General features: G+C 45.9%; 6 annotated features.

The window, feature by feature from the left end:
• Nucleotides 738-847: an enhancer, noted in NCBI's record as "active region_18059". NCBI's record gives its function as "activates an Ori minimal core promoter by ATAC-STARR-seq in GM12878 lymphoblastoid cells {active_cell/tissue: GM12878}" and the evidence as "EXISTENCE:reporter gene assay evidence [ECO:0000049][PMID:35858748]".
• Nucleotides 1,883-1,982: an enhancer, noted in NCBI's record as "active region_18060". NCBI's record gives its function as "activates an Ori minimal core promoter by ATAC-STARR-seq in GM12878 lymphoblastoid cells {active_cell/tissue: GM12878}" and the evidence as "EXISTENCE:reporter gene assay evidence [ECO:0000049][PMID:35858748]".
• Nucleotides 3,627-4,560: an enhancer, noted in NCBI's record as "OCT4-NANOG-H3K27ac-H3K4me1 hESC enhancer chr20:47909763-47910696 (GRCh37/hg19 assembly coordinates)". NCBI's record gives its function as "activates a minimal SCP1, AML or CMV promoter by ChIP-STARR-seq in naive H9 embryonic stem cells {active_cell/tissue: H9 hESC(naive)}" and the evidence as "EXISTENCE:reporter gene assay evidence [ECO:0000049][PMID:30033119]".
• Nucleotides 4,561-5,494: an enhancer, noted in NCBI's record as "OCT4-NANOG-H3K27ac hESC enhancer chr20:47910697-47911630 (GRCh37/hg19 assembly coordinates)". NCBI's record gives its function as "activates a minimal SCP1, AML or CMV promoter by ChIP-STARR-seq in naive H9 embryonic stem cells {active_cell/tissue: H9 hESC(naive)}" and the evidence as "EXISTENCE:reporter gene assay evidence [ECO:0000049][PMID:30033119]".
• Nucleotides 5,495-6,427: an enhancer, noted in NCBI's record as "H3K27ac hESC enhancer chr20:47911631-47912563 (GRCh37/hg19 assembly coordinates)". NCBI's record gives its function as "activates a minimal SCP1, AML or CMV promoter by ChIP-STARR-seq in naive H9 embryonic stem cells {active_cell/tissue: H9 hESC(naive)}" and the evidence as "EXISTENCE:reporter gene assay evidence [ECO:0000049][PMID:30033119]".
• Nucleotides 7,528-8,090: an enhancer, noted in NCBI's record as "H3K27ac-H3K4me1 hESC enhancer chr20:47913664-47914226 (GRCh37/hg19 assembly coordinates)". NCBI's record gives its function as "activates a minimal SCP1, AML or CMV promoter by ChIP-STARR-seq in primed H9 embryonic stem cells {active_cell/tissue: H9 hESC(primed)}" and the evidence as "EXISTENCE:reporter gene assay evidence [ECO:0000049][PMID:30033119]".

Genomic DNA, 20,917 nt, shown 5'->3' on the forward strand with positions numbered 1-20,917 from the left:
GGCTATGGTATTTGTTTATAAACTTCATAGGAAATTGCAAAAATAGGCTGCATCATTTATCAATATGTGATGATTTTTTATTTAAAATACACAGTGAATAATTTTTTAAGTATCTTAAAATCTCACCTCAAAGATGGGACCTCTAGATTTCTTTTTTTTTTCTGAGGCAGAGTCTCGCTGTGTCACCCAGGCTGGAGTGCAGTGGCATGATCTCAGCTCACTGCGAGCTCTGCTTCCTGGGTTCACATTCTCCTGCCTCAGCCTCCCAAGTAGCTGGGACTACAGGTGCCCGTCACCACGCCCGGCTAATTTTTTGTATTTTTAGTAGAGACGGGTTTTCGCTGTTTTAGCCAGGATGGTCTTGATCTCCTGACCTTGTGATCTGCCCACTTCGGCCTCCCAAAGTGCTGGGATAACAGGCATGAGCCACTGCGCCCAGCCTGGGACCTCTAGATTTCTAAAATGACTCCTGGTATTGACTCAGAATCCCCTCCCCTTGACTAGGCTGGACCTAGTGTAACTTCTGAGACTTGCTAGCTCTTTTTCTCATTCTCCTTGGCTTGCTCACTTTTTTTTTTTTTTTTTGAGATCTCAGCTCACTGCAACCTCCGTCCCCTGGGTTTAAGCAAATTCTCCTGCCTCACCCTCCCGAGTAGCTTGGATTACCACGCCTGGCTAATTTTTGTATATTTAGTAGAGGGGGTTCACCATGTTGGCCAGGCTGGTCTTGAACTCCTGACCTCAAGTGATCTGCCTGCGTCAAGCCTCCCAAAGTGTTGGAATTACAGGCGTGAGCCACCACGCCTGGCCTAGCTTGCTCACTTTTAATTAAGCTGCCATGTTGGGAGAGGCCAGCGTAGCAATCAACTGAGGTTGAACCATTAGTGTGGGAGGAGTTACCCAACAACCATGTGAGTTTGTAAGCACGTCTTTCTGTAGCGGAGGCTTGTGAGAAACCCTGAGAGCGGACCCACCCAGATTGTGCTTGGATTTCTGACCTATGGGAAATGTATTTCAAGCCACTAGGTTTTGAGATAACTTGCTACAAAGCAGTAAATTCACAACTCTATAATGCCCACTCTAAAGGTCCTGACATGGGCATCTCCATTACCTAAGTCAACTGATGCTACTTCAATTTCTCCACGTAGCATTTGAAGCGTTTATGTCTGGCCCCAGCCTACATTTTCAGACTTATTTGTGCATTTGACTTAACATGTCCAAAACTAAATGCCTGATGCTTCACTCACCTAACCCCATTCCCTGCAAGTCTGTGCTTCCTGCGATCTTCCCTTCCCAGGTATTGGCAACACCAGAAGTCCAGTTGGTCAGGAGCTGTGGAATCAACCTCATGTACCATGTGAATCCCTTGGCAAATGCTATTGGTTCTACCTTCAAAATACATCTGAAACCCACCCCCTCTTAGCGTCTTCATTGCTACCACCTTGGTACAAACCATCAAACAAGCTTGGAATACTGGTCTCTACTTCAGCCTTTGCTCCCTACGATCAATTGAGATGCAACCAGAGCGATCTGTGAAAACCTGAATTAGGTATGGAGCTCTCTGCTCAGAAGCCTCCAGTGTCTTCCCCACCTCACACAGTAAAAGCCAAAGTCCATCAGGGCCTACATGATCTTCCCCTTCCCTTAACCTCTAACTTCATCTCTTCCCTTTCAATCTTAGCCACATGGGCCCCCTGACTTCTCCATTCCTTTAGGATTACTCCAACCTCAGTATCTTAGCACTTGATTTTCCCACTGCCTGGAATGATCAGCCCTAGACCCCCAGAGCTTTGCACAGCCCTCTGCCTTGTGTCATTCAGGTATTTGCTCTCACTCCCTCTGGGGAACTGTCTAATCATCTCTATCACTTTCTATTCCCTTATCTTGTTTTTTATTTTTTTAAATAGAAACTGTTGCTCAGGCGGGTCTCAAACTCCTGGGCTTAAGGGATCCTCCCTATTTGGCCTCCCAAAGTGCTAGAATTACAGGCATGAGCCACCATGCCTGGCCATGTTTTTACTTAGTGCCTAACAGGTACTGCCTATGTGTATAGTATATACATGCATGTACATATACATCTATGTATATGTGTATATATAGTTTGTCATACAGCTGTTAAGTGGCAGAGCATGCATTTGATTCTGTCAGTCTGCTCTTGTATTTGTGGGGTGTTTGTTTTGTTTTTTGAGACGGAGTCTTGCTGTGTCCCCCAGGCTGGAGTGCAATCTCAGCTCCCTATAACCTTCGCCTCTTGGGTTCAAGGGATTCTCCTGTTTCAGCCTCCTGAGTAGCTGGGATTACAGAAGCCTGCACGGTGCCCCTTAATTTTTGTATTTTTAGTAGAGGTGGGGTTTCACCATGTTGGCCAGACTGGTCTCGAACTCCTGACCTCAAGTGATCCACCTGCCTAGGCCTCCCAAAGTGCTGGGATTACAGGCATGACCCACGTGCCTGGCCTGGCACTTGTATTTGTAACCCTTGGCTTAATTGCAACATGTTACTTCAATGCAGTCTAATGGATACAGGAAGGAGATAATTTCTGGCTCTTAAAAGCTCAAATGCTTTTGCTGGACTTCTGTGTTGATGAGATACCACTGAGGTCAGAAATGGCCCCAAATACCTGCCAGCCAGGGGCCAGAGAAGCTTCCTGGAGAACTCCCAGCCACACCCATAGTCTCAGCTTTGCTGTTGCTTCTCTGAGCTCCAAGGCAGTTGTAGGCCTCTAATGATCAAACTATTGGCAACCCGTCTCTAGCTTTAGCTCCTACCAGTCCCACCAAACATTTGATGCTTCAGTCTCGTTTTACCTCTTTGTCTTATTGACTGAGGAGTCCTTTCCTTCTATAAGCTTCAGTTTCCTCATCTGTGAAATGAGGTTTATTGGGTGCTTGCCACGTGCCAATATTGTGCTATTATCTCATTTAATCTATACCCCAACTCTGTTATTACCCTATTTTATAGATAGCAAAACAGGCTCAGGGAGGTTTGGTGAGTTCATGTACCTTGAAGGTGGTTCTTGAAAGCTGGGATGTGAACCAGTACTATCCTAGGCCCCTAATTTCCAAGGGCCTTTGCTTAAGACCCTCACCAACTGCATGGGTAAAAGCACAAGCATGGCCAGGCGCGGTGGCTCACGCCTGTAATCCCAGCACTTTGGGAGGCCGAGCCGGGCAGATCACAAGGTCAAGAGATTGAGACCATCCTGGCCAACATGGTGAAAACCCGTCTCTACTAAAAATACAAAAATTGGCTGGGCGTGGTGGCCCGTGCCTGTAGTCCCAGCTACTTGGCAGGCTGAGGCAGGAGAATCACTTGAACCCTGGAGGTGGAGGTTACAGTGAGCCGAGATTGCACCACTGCACTACACCTTGACAATGGAGTGAGACTCCATCTCAAAATAAAAACAAAACAAAAACAAAGAAAAACCCACACAAGCATTTCTGGAAAGCTGTGGGAAAAAATAAGAGATTCACAATGTCTTCCAGAATTTTAGCTGAGAGGTGGTGGTATTATCTCCCCCATACCCCACTACTCATTTTCTGGGAACAGAGCAGTTTTACAAATGGTTTGGAGCTTGGGCTTATTCCCAGCTCCTGGCAGACAGCAGTAACTTCCCCAGATCTCCTATCTGTAAAGTGGGCATAACATGTCTTTCCTCCTGGAGTTACTGTGAGGATCAAGTGAGACAATGTGTCCTCTAAATGCTTGACCACAGGGTTAGGTCAGTAATTGTTGCGGGAAGTCAGGGACCCCAAACGGAGGGACCGCCTGAAGCCATGACAGAAGAACGTGGATTGTGAAGATTTTATGGACATTTATTAGTTCTCCAAGTTAATACTTTTGTAATTTCTTACGCCTGTCTTTACTGCAATCTCTAAACGTAAATTGTAAAGATTTCATGGACTTCCCCAATCAATACCCTTGTGATTTCCTATGCCTGTCTTTACTTTAATCTCTTAATCCTGTCAGTTGAGGAGGATGTATATCGTTCCAGGACCCTGTAATAATTGCGTTAACTACAAAAATTGTACAGCATGTGTGTTTGAGCAATATGAAATGTGGGCATCCTGAAAAAAGAACAGGATAACAGCAATTGTTCAGGGAATAAGAGAGATAACCTTAAACTCTGACTGCTGGTGAGCCGCGCAGAACAGTCATATTTCTCTTCTTTCAAAAGCAAATGGGAGAAATATCGCTGAATTCTTTTTCTCAGCATGGAACATCCCTGAGAAAGAGAATGTGCACCTAGGGATAGGTATCTGAACTGGCCCCACCGGGGCGTACCTGTCTCTTATGGTCGAGATTGCAGAGGTGAAATAAACTCCGGTCTCCCATAGCGCTCCCAGGCTTATTAGGAAGAGGAAATTCCTGCCTAATAAATTTTGGTTGATCTCAAAACCCTGTCTCCTGATAAGATGTTATCAATGACAATGGTGCCCGAAACTTCATTAGCAATTTTAATTTCGCCTCGGTCCTGTGGTCCTGTGATCTCGCCCTGCCTCCACTTGCCTTGTGATATTCTATTACCCTGTTAAGTACTTGATGTCTGTCACCCACGCCTATTCACACACTCCCTCCCCTTTTGAAAATCCCTAACAAAAACTTGGCTGGTTTTTGTGGCTTGTGGGGCATCACGGATCCTACCAACGTGTGATATCACCCCCGGACGCCCAGCTTTAAAATTTCTCTCTTTTGTACTCTGTCCCTTTATTTCTCAAGCCAGCTGATGCTTAGGAAAATAGAAAAGAACCTACGTGATTATCAGGGCAGGTCCCCCGATAAGTAATAGTCATCTTCATCCGAGTGAAAAGGAATAAACTAGTGATTGTGCAACAACTTGGATGAACCCCAGAGATGCGATGCTGACTGAGGGAAGCCAGCCTCAAATGGTTACATGCTGTGTGATTCCATTTATTTGACATTCTGGAAAAGACAAAGGTATGATGAAGGGAAGAGATGATGGTGTTGCCAGAAGTTAGGATGGGTGGCGGATGTGGATGTAAAGGGATCGCACAAGGAAGTGTTTGGGGTGTCATGATTGCCGTAGTGGTTATATGAATGTACTGGGCCAGGCATGGTGGCTCACGCCTGTAATCCCAGCACTTTGGGAGGCCCAGGTGGGTGGATCACCTGAGGTTAGGAATTTGAGACCACCCCGGCCAACATCGTGAAACCCCATCTCTCCATCTCTACTAAAAATACAAAAATTAGCTAGGCGTGGTGGCGCGTGCCTGTAATCCCAGCTACTTGGGAGGCTGAGGCAGGAGAATCACTTGAACCTGGAAGGTGGAGGCTGCAGTGAGCTGAGATCGCACCATTGCACTCCAGCCTGGGCAATAGAGTGAGACTCCGTCTCGAAACAAAACAAAAACCCAGATTTATAGAACTGTACAGCAAAATAAAAAAATAGTTTTATTGTATGACAATTTTTTTATTATTTATTTTTGAGACAGGGTCTTGCTCTGTCACCCAGGCTGGAGTGCAATGGTGCGATCTTAGCTCACTGCAGCCTCCACCTTCCGGGTTCAAGCAATCCTCCCACCTCAGCCTCCTGAGTAGCTGTGACTACAGGTGCGTGCTACCACACTCAGCTAATTTTTAAATTTTTTTAGAGATAGGGGTCTCACTATGTTGCTGGAGTTGATCTCAAACTCCTGGTCTCAAGTGATCCTCCTGCCTCACCCTCCGAAAGTGCTTTTTAAAAATGTTAAAAACAAACATAGGCTCTGGAGCTAGACTTGGGTTTAAATCCCGGCTCTGTTATGTATTAGCCATTGGCTCAATCTTCTTTTTCTTTTCCTAGATTTTGCCTGCCTGAGCTCCTCTAGTAGTGGCCACAATTGCCAGAGAAGATAGAGCAGGTCTCTCCCAGGACTTGCAGCTCCAGCCTGTGTCTGCAAGGGGTGTTGTAGCGACTGATTTCTCCAGCCCATGGCAAGAGGCCTTCATCTTGTGCCTGGAAAGAGGGAAGTACAAGTCCGTCTGGCAGAGATGGTGCAGATGGGCAAGTTTTTCAGACACTGCAGCCAGCACTTCTGGGACCGCAGCAGTGGAGCCTGCAGAGGGCCGGTTCTCCAGGCATGGGCTACTGACATTGTCACTTCCAGACTCCTTATGCAATAAACAACCCCTAAACAGATTTATTCACAATTTCTCCATCCTAACAAGTCAGTGATCAGTTTTCACTTTTCCACATTCCCTTCTGTCCCCATTATGTTCCCATAGTGGGGCAGCTTCTACCTGCATGGTTGGAGCTTCCCATTTTTAAAGAGGCAAGAAATCCTTTAAAGTTCTTTGAAATGTTTGTAGCCTGTTCCAATTTTATAAACTGTGAAGACTGAGCAACACACAATGCATGGGCCTCATATGGCCTGGAGGCCACCAGTTGGAGACCTCTGTAGCTTGAGCTGTGTCCCTTTCAGCACTGTTCTTGTCATTCCTGAGCTGGGATGCCCCCTGAAACATAGGATGCTCAGTTAAATTTGAATTTCTTTTTTTTTTTCCTTGAAATGGAGTGTCGCTCTGTCGCCAGGCTGGAGTGCTGTGGCGTGATCTCAGCTCACTGCAACCTCCACCTCCCTAGTTCAAGTGATTCTCCTGCCTCAGCCTCCCGAGTAGCTGGGATTACAGGCATGCACCACCACACCCAGCTAATTTTTGTATTTTTAGTAGAGACAGAGTTTCACCATGTTGGCCAGGATGGTCTTGATCTCCTAACCTCATGATCTGCCCGCCTCGGCCTCCCAAAGTGCTGTGATTACAGGTGTGAACCACTGCGCCCGGCCGATGGCAATCATTCTTTAAGATGCAGCCTCCGTGGACCTCGTACCTTCTCAGTAATTTCCATATTCTTTGCTGACTTGGGTTTTTCCTCCAAAATTGTCTGGGATAAATTGAGGTTTGTGGAGTTTCCTGATGGCTAGTTTCCAAACTGGCTTCAAAGCCTGGGCTTGTGGAATTGGCTGGGTCTGCGGCCAGCCTAACCCATCCTTCGGTCACAGTCTCCCATGGTCCTGATATTAATTCATCACAGGTCTGTTTAGAAGGTGGCAGAAACAGACGGTCTTGGGCTTATTTATATCTGTGGCTTTTTTTAAAAGACAGAAAAGGAGAAATCTGGATCCTTTCCTTGTCAGCCTCCTTTAACTAAATGGTCTTTTGCTAAAATAGACTGGCCCCACTGTGTGGGTAGGAAGGGTTGAGATGGGAGTGGGCCAAGTGAGTGAGAACTTTTTTTTTTTGCCTTGATGTTAAAATGGCAGCATGTGCAGTCTTCTGCCTCTGCCCAGGTTGACCTGATGTTTTTACAGGGAGAGAGGCTGCTTGTTGAGTGTGGTGGTATTTATCATAGTGTATGTTAGGCTGCCTCAAACATCCCTCGCTGTCGTACCTTTCAGCCAACTCTAATGTACCTCTCTCAGCCTGATTTCTCCCCACTTGAGTTATAATAACAACAACTGCCTTTTAAAAAATTTCCTACTGGGCTTCATGCTAGGTACTTTCCACGTTTTATTTTTATTTATTTATTTTTTGAGACAGAGTCTCACTCTGTCACCCACGCTGGAGTGCAGTGGTGTGATCGCAGCTCACTGCAGCCTCAAACTCCTGGGCTCAAGCGAGCCTCCTGCCTCAGCCTCCCGAATAGCTGGGACTACAGGTTTGTGCTACTGTGCCCGGCTAATTTTTCTATTTTTTTGTAGAGACAGTGTCTCCCTTTGTTTCCCAGGCTGATCTCTCCTGGGCTCAAGCGATCCTCCTGCCTCAACCTCCCAAAGTATTGGGATTACTGGTGTGAGCCACCATTATATGTTTTAAATAATTTATTCCTCACCTCAAGTGAGTGAGGTAACATCCCAGTTTTACAGACAAGGAAACAGATTGGGCAGGGGAAGTGACTTGCCTCAGATGCACAATAAATGGCTCTGCCAGTGTCTTCCTTAGCGCCTCCGATCCCCTTCTCACCCTTGTCCTCTCTGCTCCTCTCTGCTCAATGCTCCTGGGAGCGTGAACTGCATTAATGGCTCCTTGTCTGGTGGCCTCAAGGTTCCCCAGGAGGCAGGGAGGGTGAGGCTGAGATGTGTGCTCCCCTAAGGCACATGCCTCAGCCTGGCTGCCTCTGTCTAAGGCCACAGCCCCTCAAGTGCTTCCCCACCTGACTTTCTGGGCTCTGGTAACCGCTTCCTGCCTGCCCCATCAGGTGTAGGGGGTGCTTCATGGGTCAACATTAGCTTATGTGGTTTCCTTATATCCTGGGCGCACCTTTGTTAGTCTCAAATTACATTCTGCTTGAACTATTCTCTATCCAGTGGGTTGTGACTATCTAGAGGCAGAGTTGGGATTTGAACCCCAAGACTTCAAAATAAGCTCTGTGCAAATGGCCTCCCAGAGCTGCCTGCTGGTTTCTTCTGCGAGGCCTGGCTTCTCCATTTTGGCTTGGACCATGGCCTGCTGTCATTTCCACAACAGTTGCAGGAAGTTGCCAAATGCGTTTTCTGTGACTGCCAGGCTGGTGACCCTGTTAAAAACAAAGCAACAACAAAAAAAGCAATTTCTTCAATTAAAATTACAAAACAGAAAAAAAAAAAGATGTCACACTTGGGGGAAGCTGGTTGAAGTGTACTTGATATTCTACATACTATTTTCGCAGTTCTCTGTGAATCAATAGTTATTTCCAAATAAAATGTTAAAAAAAACTTTATTACTAAATCAGAAAAAAACAACAACAAACAACAACAAAAACCAAAGCAGAATATGTGGTGCACTGTTGAGGGAAGTACAGAAGGATAAAAACAAGAAAATACTGACACAACTCAGACTCCACTGTTGAACCTTATTTTATTTTATATACTTCTAGGTCTTTTTTTTTTTTTTTTTTGAGAAGAGTCTCAGCTCACTGCAACCTCTGCCTCCCAGGTTCAAGCGATTCTCCTGCCTCAGCCTCCCGAGTAGCTGGGATTACAGGTGCCTGCCACCATGCCTGGCTAATTTTTGTATTTTTAGTAGAGACGGGGTTTCACCATGTTGTGCAGGCTGGTCTCGAACTCCTGATTCAGGTGATTCGCCCGCCTCGGCCTCCCAAAGTGCTGGGATTACAGGTGTGAGCCACTGCGTCAGGCCACTTCTAGGTCTTTTTCTACATGTTTATATATACACTGTATGTATTCTTTACCAAAGTGGGATCATACCATAATGCTGTTTTTTTTTTGTTTTGTTTTGTTTTTTGTTTTTGTTTTTAAGACAGTCTTACTCTGTTTCCCAGGCTGGAATGCAGTGGTGTGATCTCGGCTCACTGCAATCTCTGCCTCCCAGGTTCAAGTGATTCTCCTGCCTCAGCCTCCCGAGTAGTTGGGACTACAGGTGCCCACCACCACGCCCAGCTAATTTTTGTATTTTTGGTAGGGACGGGGTTTTGCTGTGTTGGCCACACTGGTCTCGAATTCCCAACCTCATGTGATCCACCTGCCTTGGCCTCCCAAAGTGCTGGGATTCTAGGTGTAAGCCACCACGCCCGGCCTATAGTGCTGTTTTGTAACCTCTGTCAGTTAACCATCTCCATTTTTTCACATCAATAAATTTCCCATTTGTCCACAAAAGTCCTGTACAGCTGGCAGAGGATATGTGTGACTGGAGGCCATTAGGTCCTTCAGGTTCTTCCAGCCTAGCACCACCCTTTCTTCCCCTTTACCATAGGGGCTTGTCCTAGAGAACGTCTCACCTTCTGGATTCATCTGAGTGTTGCCTTCTGGGGGTGTCACTTCATTTGTTCCTCTGTATCCTGCATCCCCTGTAAATTGGAGAGTCAATCTAAAGTTTTGATAAGATCAAGTTAAATATTTTGGCAAGAAAGCGTCATACATGATGATGCTGGGCACATCAGGTGACATCACATTTTATATTTAATGGACAAATAAAAGTTGTATATATTTACTGTGTACAACACGATGTTTTGGAATATGTATATGTTGTGGAATGGCTAAATCAAGCTAATTAAAATATGCATTACTTCACTTTTTTTTTTTTTAAGAGACAGAGTTTTGCTCTCGTTACCCAGGCTGGAGTACAGTGGCATGATCTCGGCTCACTGCATCCTCTGCCTCCAGGGTTCAAGCGATTCTTCTGCTTCAGCCTCCCAAGTAGGTGGGATTACATCTGCCACCATGCCCGGTTAATTTTTTGTATTTAGTAGAGACGGGTTTCACCATTTTGCTCAGGCTGGTCTCAAACTCCTGACTTCAGGTGATCTGCCCCCCTCGGCCTCCCAAAGTGCTGTGATTGCAGGCATGATACTTCACTTATTTTTTGTGATAAGAACACAAAATCTCTTGAGCAATTTTTAAGTACACAGTATATTCTTATTGACTATAGTCACCATGATGTACAATAGAGCTCTTGAAGTTATTCCTCTTGTTTAACTGGAAATTTGTACCCTTTGATCAATATCTCCTGAAAACAATTTTCTCTGCTTCTCTCTTATGACTTTGACTTATATGTGTAGATGCCACATAGAAGTGATATCTTCCAGCCTGGGCAACAGAGTGAGATTCTGGTTTTGTTTGTTTGTTTCTTTTTTTTTTTTGGAGACAGTCTCACTCTGTGGCCCAGGATGATCTCGGCTCACTGCAATTCTGCCTCCTGGGCTCAGGTGGTCCTCCCACTTCAGCCTCCCGAGTAGCTGGGACTACAGGCATGCACCACTACGCCTGGCTAATTTTTGTATTTTTTTGTAGAGATGGGTTTTGCCAGGTTGCCCAGGCTGATCTTGAACTCCTGGGCTCAAGCGATCTCTGCCTGCCTAGGCCTCCCAAAGTGCTGGGATTTCAGGCGTGAGCCACCATGCTCAGCTGAGACTGTTTCTAAGACAGTCTCACTCTGTTGCCCAGGCTGGAGTGCAGTGGCGGGATCTTGGCTCACTGCAACCTCTGCCTCCTGGGTTCAAGTGATTTTCCTGCCTCAGCCTCCTGAGTAGCTGGGACTACACGTGCCCACCACCACGCCCAGCGAATTTTTGTATTTTTAGTAGAGACGGGGTTTCGCCATGTTAGCCAGGCTGGTCTTCAACTCTCGACCTCAAGTGATCCACCTGCCTCGGCCTCCCAAAGTGTTAGGATTACAGGTGTGAGCCACCATGTCTGGCCTCACACAGAATTTTAAAAACACATTTTAAAAGTGTATTCAAGGGTTGACATGCAATAGAATTAGCAATTTTTACTGCTTTATCAAGGACATTCCTAAGTGAAACTGGCTCTCTTCTTGTTACTGTGGGCTTGTAGGGGTGAAGAATACAGTGATTACTAATAGAATTAGGTGCCACCACTTTGATTCATGCTAAGGAGCCAGCAGCTTTGTCCTCTGTTGTTTTTGTACCATTTAACGCAAATGTCACAGGGGAATGTTAAAAGATAAAGTCTTACTATCATTATGAAAATTCTTGGCCGGGCGCGGTAGCTCACGCGTAATCCTAGCACTCTGGGAGGCCGAGGCGGGTGGATCATGAGGTCAGGAGATTGAGACGATCCTGGCCAACACGGTGAAAACCCATCTCTACTAAAAATACAGAAAATTAGGCGAGCATGGTGGCAGGCGCCTGTAGTCCCAGCTACTCAGGAGGCTGAGGCAGGAGAATGGCGTGAACCTGGGATGCGGAGCTTGCAGTGAGCCGAGATGGCGCCACTGCACTCCAGCCTGTGTGACAGAGCGAGACTCCACCTCAAAAAAAAAAAAAAGAAAATTCTTTTGACCTTGCAGCCCCCTGAAAGTGTCTTAAACACCATACTTTAAGAATCACCAATCTGTTCTATAGACTTCATTCAAATGTTGCCAATTTTCCTACTAATATCCTTGTTATGGTCTAAGATCTAACCCAAGAGCACATTTAAAAAAAATATCAACTTTTACTTTAGATTCAGGCGGTACACATGTAGGATTGTTACAAGGATATATTTCGTGGTGCTGAGGTTTGGGGTATGATTGAGCCTGTCATCCAGGTAGCGAGCAAGGTACCCAGTAAGGGGTTTTTCACCCCCTGCCCCGTCCCTCTCTTCCCCCTCAAGCCTGTCATCCAGGTAGTGAGCAAGGTACCCAGTAGGGGGTTTTTCACCCCCTGCCCCATCCCTCTCTTCCCCTTCTTGTAGTCTCTGGTGTCTAATGTTTCATCTGTATGTGTCCACGTGTACCCAATGTATAGCTCCCATGTGTATGTGAGAACATATGGTATTTGTTTTTCTGTTTCTGTGGTAATTTGCTTATGATAGTGGCCTCCAGCTGCATCCATGTTGCTGCAAAGGGCATGATTTCCTTCTTTTTTTTTTTTTTTTTTGAGACACAGTCTCGCTCTGTCGCCAGGCTGGAGTGCAGTGGGGTGATCTCGGCTTACTGCAACCTCCGCTTCCTGGGCTCAAGCGATTCTCCTGCCTCAGCCTCCCGAGTAGCTGGGATTATAGGCATGCGCCACCACACCTGACTAATTTTTGTATTTTTAGTAGAAACGGGGTTTCTTCATGTTGGTCAGGCTGGTCTCGAACTCCCAACCTCAGGTGATCCACCAACCTCAGCCTCCCAAAGTGCTGGGGTTACAGGTGTGAGCCACTGTGCCTGGGGATTTCATTTTCTTTCAGGGCTGTGTAGTATTCTGTTGTGTATATGTACCACATTTTCTTTATTCCACTGCTGATGGGCACCTAGGTTGATGCCATGTCTTTGCTATTGTGAACAGTGCTGTGATGAAAATACATGTGCATGAAGAGCTAACGTCGAAACATGTTCTATTTAGATGTCCTCTCTCCTTAGGCTCTCTCTCTCTCTTTTTGAGGCAGAGTCTCACTCTGTTGCCCAGGCTGTAGTGTGGTGGTGTGATTTCAGCTCACTGCAACTTCTGCCTCCCAGGTTCAAGCAATTCTTGTGTTTCAGCCTCCCAGACATTAAAGAGATTTACAGGCCAGGCACAGTGGCTCACACCTGTAATCCCAGCACTTTGGGAGGCCAAGGCGGGTGGATTGCTTGAGGCCAGAAGTTCGAGACCAGCCTGGCCAACTTGGTGAAAGCTCTTCTCTACGAAAAACACAGAAATTAGCCAGGTGTGGTGACACACACCTGTAATCCCAGCTACTCAGGAGGCTGAGGAATGAGAATCACTTGAACCTGGGAGGCAGAGGTTGCAGTGAGCTGAGATCGCACCATTGCACTCCAGCCTGGGGCAACAAAGCAAGACCGTGTCTCAAAAAAAAGGGATGGGAAAGAAAATTGAAAATTACTAGAGGGTTACTTTGATTACAGTATTCAGGGAAGGCCTCTCTGAGGATGTGACATGTGAGCCAAGATCTGAAGGATGAATAGGAGCTGGGCACAAGAAAATCTGAAAGGGAAGAGCATTCTGGGAGCGGAGACAGAAAGTGCAAAGGCTCAGAGATGAGAATGAACTCGGCAACACTACACAGAATTCTGTCCAACATTCTTCAGCTGCTGAAAAACTTGTTCATGATAAACTTGGGACTCAGACACATATAACAGACATCAGTTAAACACTTATCAGAGCTGGAGTCATGTTAAAGTAGAATAAAAATGTCAAACTCCAGACATTTCCATAAACACTCAACATGCTTCATTTGCTTAGGAGGAATTTTCCTCATCTCTAAATCATGGGGTTCCAGTTTCCCAAACTCTCTGCCAGGAAGGGAAATTGAGCTGGAAAGTGAACCATCAGAGAAAATTAAGCACCCGGCTCCACCCTGAGCTTTATCATTTATCAGTGGAGTCAGCTAGACATTTGGCAGAAAACGGTGAAAATAACATTTGCCTGTGTGTCTAATGGTTCCATATGCGTTTTGGGTTGGGTGGCATCCAGAAGCAGCTGGGAAAATTCCAGTTGTATCAGGCATTCATCTCTTCTCTCTGTGGCTAGCCACTCAGGAAGTCACATGGGTACCTTACTGCTCCCTAATTTAGCTCTGTCTTTAAAAAATATATAAAAATGTTTCTTTTTTTTTTGAGATGGAGTCTTGCTCTTGTTGCCCAGGCTAGAGTGCAATGGCGCCATCTTGGCTCACTGCAACCTCTGCCTCTTGGGTTCAAGCGATTCTCCTGCCTCAGCTTCCCAAGTAGCTGGGATTACAGGTGCCCACCACCATGCTCAGCTAATTTTTTGTATTTTTTTAGTAAAGGTGGGGTTTCACCATGTTGGCCAGGCTGGTCTTGAACTCCTGACCTCAGGTGATCCACCCGCCTCGGCCTCCCAAAGTGCTGGGATTACAGGCATGAGCCACCATGCCCAGCCAAAAAAATCTTCCTTAAGATATAAACACACACAAAAGGCAAAAGGAAGGCAACTTGAGGAAGTGGCTAGATCACCATATTGAACTTCACAGAATCTGGGTTCAAGGCCCATTTCATGCACTAACTGACTCAGCCCTCTCATTTGTAAAAATTTACACCAGTTTCTTACAAAGTGGCAGGTACTTTTTAGCTGTGTGACCTTAGGCAAGTGAGTTCACACCTCTGAGCCTTGACTTACTCTGAAAATAGGCATTAATAATACTTATTTGTGGTAGACACTGATGGTTTCTACCCAACAGTTGTTTTCCCCTCCTGGGTCTTTGCTTCCTTCTCCCATGACAGAAGCAGATGTGGCCAGACCTTCACCTTCCCAACCTCCTCTGCAGCTAATGAATGCAGCCTAGTTCTGGCCAATGAGATGCATGGAAAAATTGGCTAGGGAGCTTCTGTATGTAGTGCCTGTGATTTTTTGTTTTCACATGATTAATAATATGATTTCATGCAGCTATTACTAGATGGGGCCAGGCGTGGTGGCTCATGCCTGTAACCCTAGCACTTTGAGAGGCTGAGGCGGCGAATCACCTGAGGTCAGGAGTTCAAGACCACCCTGGGCAACATGGTAAAACCCCATTTCTACTAAAAATACAAAAATTAGCTGGGCATGGTGGCACATGCTTGTAATCTCAGCTGCTCAGGAGGCTGAGGCAGAATTGCTTGTGCCTGGGAGGTGGAGGTTGCAGTGACCCGAGATCACGCCACTGCACTCCAGCCTGGATGACAGAGTGAGACTCTGTCTCAAAAAAAAAAAAAAAAAAAAAAAAAGTACCTGGGGCTAAATAGAAAGGCCCAGAAAATCCAAAGCATGTGTTCTGCTGTGTAAGTTGGAGCAGTGCTTTTGGATGCTTCTCAGCTAAAAATGCAGATTCTGGTTCAGTAGGTCTGTGGTGGAGCTTGAGAGATGTTCCTAAGGAGGACCATTTAGGGTTGGCTGATCCACCATTTCAACAAGTTCTTCAAGGGCTCAAGATCTCTCCCACTTTTCTCCCTGCCATCCTGGATGGTTGGTGTGCTGTCCCCAGGCTTGTTGTGTGAAGGTCACAAGGTCAAGGACACAATGCCAGCGACCACACCCAGACATAACTGAACTTTCAAAGGAAGAGGAGCATGTACCCTTCCAGGCATCTCTCTATCAGTGGAGAAATCTTTCCCCAGGAGCCCATTCTTCTGACCCCCACCCCTCACCCCAGCCAATGGCTGCCGTGTGGCACAAGCCAGGAGTACCATTTTAATAGACTCTCTGGGAATGTTGTCCCAGAAGTTCTAGCAGCCTTCTCCTCACATCTTATTAGCCAGATGTGTGTCGTGTGCTTCAAGCTTAAGCCAGTCATTGGCAAGGAGAGTAGAATGACTGTGACTGGCTCAGGCCAGAAGTCTCAAAGTGAGGTGCTGGGACCAGCTGTACCTGCATCACATCGCCTGGGAAGCTTGTTAGAAATACATATTTTAGGCTGGGCACGGTGGCTCACGCCTGTAATCCCAGCACTTCGGGAGGCCGAGGCGGGTGGATCACAAGGTCTGGAGTTCAAGACCAGCCTGGCCAACATAGTGAAACCCTGTCTCTACTAAAAATACAAAAGTTAGCCGGGCATGGTGATGCATGCCTGTAGTCTCAGCTACTTGGGAGGCTGAGGCAGAAGAATCGCTTGAACCTGGGAGGCAGAGGTTGTGGTGAGCCAAGATCATGCCACTGCACTCCAGCCTGGGCAATAGAGCGAGACTCTGTCTCAAAAAAAACAAAAACAAAAACATATTTTGGGCCTGCACCCCAGACCTACTGAATTAGAAAGTCTAGGGGTGAGGCCCAGCAATGGATTCTAACAAGGGCTCCAGATAATTGTGATACACACTAGAATTGGCCCTGGCTGCGCATTGGAATTATCCAAGGAACTCTTAAAGCTACCGCTAGATAGACGTCAGAATGGTGGTTACCCCTGCAGGCTGCACTGGAGTATAGACCCTGAAGTAGTGTGACCAACTTGTGGTTTGCTTGGGAGTTTCTTGGTTTTAGTACTGAAAGTCCTCTGTCCTGGAAAATCCCCTCAATCCTGGGCAAATTAGGATGGTTTGTCACCTTACCTTGATGGAGCAAGAGGGAATTTTCTGGGGTGTTGAAAATGTTCTATCCCATCATCTGGGTGGTGGTTGCATGTGTGTACGCATGTGTAAAAAATATCAAGCTGAGCTGGGCACTGTGGCTCGAGCCTGTAATCCCAGCACTTTGGGAGGACAAGGCAGGAGGATTGTTTGAGCACAGGAGTTTGAGATCAGCCTGCCTGGGCAATATGGCAAGACCCCACCTGTACTAAAAATAAATTTAAAAAAAACTTTAGCATTAGCCAGGCATGGTGATGTATGCCTGTAGGCCCAGCTACTAGGCAGGCTGAGGCAGGAGGATCGTTTGAGCCCAGGAGGTAGAGGCTGCAGTGAGCCATGATCGCGCCACTGTGCTTCAGCCTGGACAACAGAGTGAGACTGTCTTAAAAAAAAAAATCAAGCTATCCGTTTAAAGTTTGTGCACCTTACACATGCTACTAAGTGTACATCACAACTTAAAAAAATACTGATGTCCAGGTTGTATTCCAGATTGATTAAGTCAAAATCTCTAGGAGAAGATCCCAGGCATTGGTATCATGGAATACTCTCCAGACGTTTCTCACGTTCAGCCAGATTTGTGAATGAACACGATCAAATCTCCAGGGAGTTAAAGTGAAGGTTCTGATTCAGCGGGTCTGGGTGGGCCTGAAATTGTGCATTTCCACCACACTCCCAGGGGATGCTGATGCTGGACCATGCTCTAGGGAGCGAGGGCCAGGCCTGGTTAACGTTTACCTTCTGGGGCAGGCAGAGGGCTGCTCCCCTGAAACATCTTGGTGGTCTTAGTGAGGAAGGAAGAAAGTGGGGCTCATTGGAGACTAGCTGTGGGGTAGGCAACTCCCGTGGCATTCAAAGAATTAAAGGTTAGGGTGAGGTTAGAAGCTTACACCTGGGCAACCATACAAATGCAAAAGCTCAGACATCTGTTCCCAACTCCCTGATGTGCCAGGAGGGCCATGTTTGCCTAGGTTTTGGCTCTACTTCCTAGCCAGAGTCAGGCCTGAATACCCAGCGTGGGCTTAGTTTGCTTCTCCTGAGGTTACTCAGGAACCTGTCTTTCTGGAGAAGCCAGTGCCATGTCCAGAGGTGCCCTCCTCTGCGCTGCAGACACCACGGAGACTGATAACAGGGCTGCCAGCTGGTTTAATTACCCAGATGGGAAGCTGGCAGGTGGAGTCTAACCTTGACAGAGATTAATGACTCCATTATCTTCCTAGGCTATCATCCCGTGCGGGCCCCAGTCCGGAATGTAGACATAAGGTGTAAATAAAGTCCTTGTTCTGAGGGAGGACATTTTTCATTGTCTTCAGATGGGAATTTGCCCCCAGAAACCCTTGACTCAAATTCGGGAAGTATCTTTTTTTGGCAGAATAACCTGGTCGTTTGTGGGCATGTGACAGGTCTCCTAAAGGCTGGGCCAAGGCTTGCTGGCAAAACCAATGTTACTTGTTTCCTTAAACTCATTAAGAAATACGTGCCTGTTGTAAACAACTTAAAGTGACAGCTCTTGTCTCCTTTCCCACTCTTTGAAGGTAACTATTATACTTAACTCTTTGGCGTATAGTCTTCCAAATATATTTCTTTTTCTGTTTGTTTTCTTCTCCAGATAAAGTTTCCCCCCAAATTTTATTGGGGCATAATTATAGTACATTTATTTATTTATTTATTTGAGATGGAGTCACTCTGTCGCTCAGGCTGGAGCGCAGTGGCACAATCTTGGCTCACTGCAACCTTCACCTCCTGGGTTCAAGTGATTCTCCTGACTCAGCCTCCCGAGTAGCTGGGATTACAGGCACCTGCCACCATGCCCGGCTAATTTTTGTATTTTTAGTAAAGATGAGGTTTCACCATGTTGGCCAGGCTGGTCTTGAACTCCTGACCTCAAGTGATCAGCCCTCCTCGGCCTCCCAAAGTGTTGGGATTACAGGACTTGAGACACTGTGCCTGGATGGTGGCACATATTTAAAGTATATAACTTGATTGGTCTTTAAAATTATTTTATTATTTGCAGAGATAATAAATCTTCCTTAATAAATAAAACAATCTTCCTTCCTCACTTTGTTGCCTAGGGCTGGTCTGGAACTCCTGGGCTCAAGTAGTCCTCCTGCCTTGGCCTCCCAAGGTGTTGGGATTACAGACATGAACCTCCAAGCCCAGCCCCAATTTGATTACTCTTTTTTTTTTTTTTTGAGATGGAGTCCCACTCTGTCGCCCAGGCTGGAGTGTGGTGGCATGATCTTGGCTCACTGCAAGCTCTGCCTTCCCGGTTCACGCCATTCTCCTGCCTCAGCCTCCTGAGTAGCTGGGACTACAGGTGCCCACCACGCCCGGCTACATTTTTTTTTTTTTTAATATTTTTAGTAGAGACGGGGTTTCACCGTGTTAGCCAAGAGGGTTTCGATCTCCTGACCTCGTGATCCGCCTGCCTTGGCCTCTCAAAGTGCTGGGGTTGAGCCACTGCGCCCGGCCTATTATTATTATTTTTTGAGATGGAGTCTTGCTCTGTCGCCCAGGCTGGAGTGCAGTGGCGCGATGTTGGCTCACTGCAAACTCCACCTCCCTGGTTCACGCCACTCTCCTGATTACTCTTGACATAGACCCATTAAACCATCTCTCCAACTAGGATAGAGCACATGTCCCTCACCCCCAAAAGTTTCCATGTGTCCCTTTGTGATTCCTTCCTACCTGCATCCCCTCCACTACTGAACAACAACTGTCACTATAAATTAGTTTGCATTTTCTAGGTTTTATGGAAATGGAATTATGCAGCATATGTATATGCTTTTGCCTGGCTTCTTTCACTCAACATAATGATTTTGAGATTCATCTATGTTGTAGAAATCAACAATATGTTGCTTTTAATTGCTGAGTATATCCCATGGTATGGATATATCACAATTTGTCTATCCATTCATCTGTGGATGGACTTTTTAAGTTGCTTCTAATTTATGGTGATTACAAATAAAGCTGCTCTGAACATTTGTGTACAAATCTTTGTGTGAACAGATATTTTAGCTTCTCTTAGGCAGATACCTAGGAGTGGAAAGACTGAGTCATGTCACATGGTAGGTACATTTAACTTTTCAAGAAACTACCGAACTGTTTTCCAAAGTGGTTTATCTCATTTTGTGTTCTCACCAGCCCTGGGTGAGAGTTTTATGCGCTCCACATCCTCACCAACCCTGTGATGATCAGTCTTTCTAATATTTGCCATTCTAATGAGTGTGAAGCGGTATCTCATTATGATTTTAACATGCATTTCCCTAATGTCTAACGCTATTGAGTATCTTTTTATGTGCTTATTGGCCATTTGCATGTATTATTTTGTGAAGTGTCTGTTGAAAATTTTGTTGCTCTTTCTTTTATTGGGCTGTTTTCTTATTGTTGAGTAATAAGGGTTCTTTATATATGTTAAATGTCTAAAATGCTACATTTTAATATAGTGGTGTCCTCAAAGTGGGAGTGATGAATTTTATCTAATTTTGTCATGGTCAGGGGAGGAGTTGTGCTCTGGAAGCCCATCCATGGGGAAGGTGAGGTTCAAACTCTAAGATAAAAACTCTAGATAAAATTTTAAGTCCTGCTGTGGATGGCTGTTGTTTCTTTCTGCCCAGCATTTACACCTTTTCTGATAACAACTCACCCCAATGTTTTCAAGGGAGAATTATTCTTCCACCATTTTTAGTACCTGCGGTTTGGGTGAAGCTGACCCTAAACCCTGGCTCCTGGGGAGGGGTATGACCTTGGCCTGGCCAATCAGCATTTTCATCTTCCTGGCTCTGTAATGTGCATGTAACTCAGATGGATCCAATGGGATTCAACTTTAGGACTTTTGCTGGAGTGACTCTTTGTATTGGTCTCAGCTTCCTCCTCAGCCACCTCCTTCCTCAGCCACCTCCTCAGAGAAGCCCTCCCTGACTTGCAGAAGAGATGAGGCATCTCTGATGTGCTCAGTTAGCTCGCTGATCTTTCATGCACAGCACTTATCACAGCTATTAACTAAATATTTGTATGATTATCTGTGTAATAAATTTCTGCCCTCCAGACTGCAAGCTCCATGAAACTGGGGCTGCATCTCTTTTGTTCACTCTTGAGTCCCCAGCATTGGTATAGCCTATCCGTATATTTTGAACGTGAAGATGACAGGATTTGCTGAGGAATTGGATGCATGCTGGATGTGGGAGAAATAGAAACTTGAGACTTAATAAATACTTGTTGAGTGAATGTAGGAAGCTACATTTGTGCATGAGAAAACTGAGGTCCAGAGAGGTGAAATGACTCTCCCCAAATCGCACAGCAAGTCAGGAGCAGAGCTGGAATGTGAATTCGGGGCTGTCCAACTTCAGAGCTTGTGCTCTTCCTCAGCACCCTAAATGACTCCTTGCAAACTGAACATAATTTTCCACAACAAACACTGCTTAGGCATGGCAGATACCTCTGAAATAAACTGTGTTATTTATCTATTGCTTCATAACAAATTACTTCCCAACCTTGG

Source organism: Homo sapiens, chromosome 20, assembly GCF_000001405.40.
Source record: "Homo sapiens chromosome 20, GRCh38.p14 Primary Assembly".
In the NCBI taxonomy this organism is placed as follows: Eukaryota; Metazoa; Chordata; class Mammalia; order Primates; family Hominidae; genus Homo; species Homo sapiens.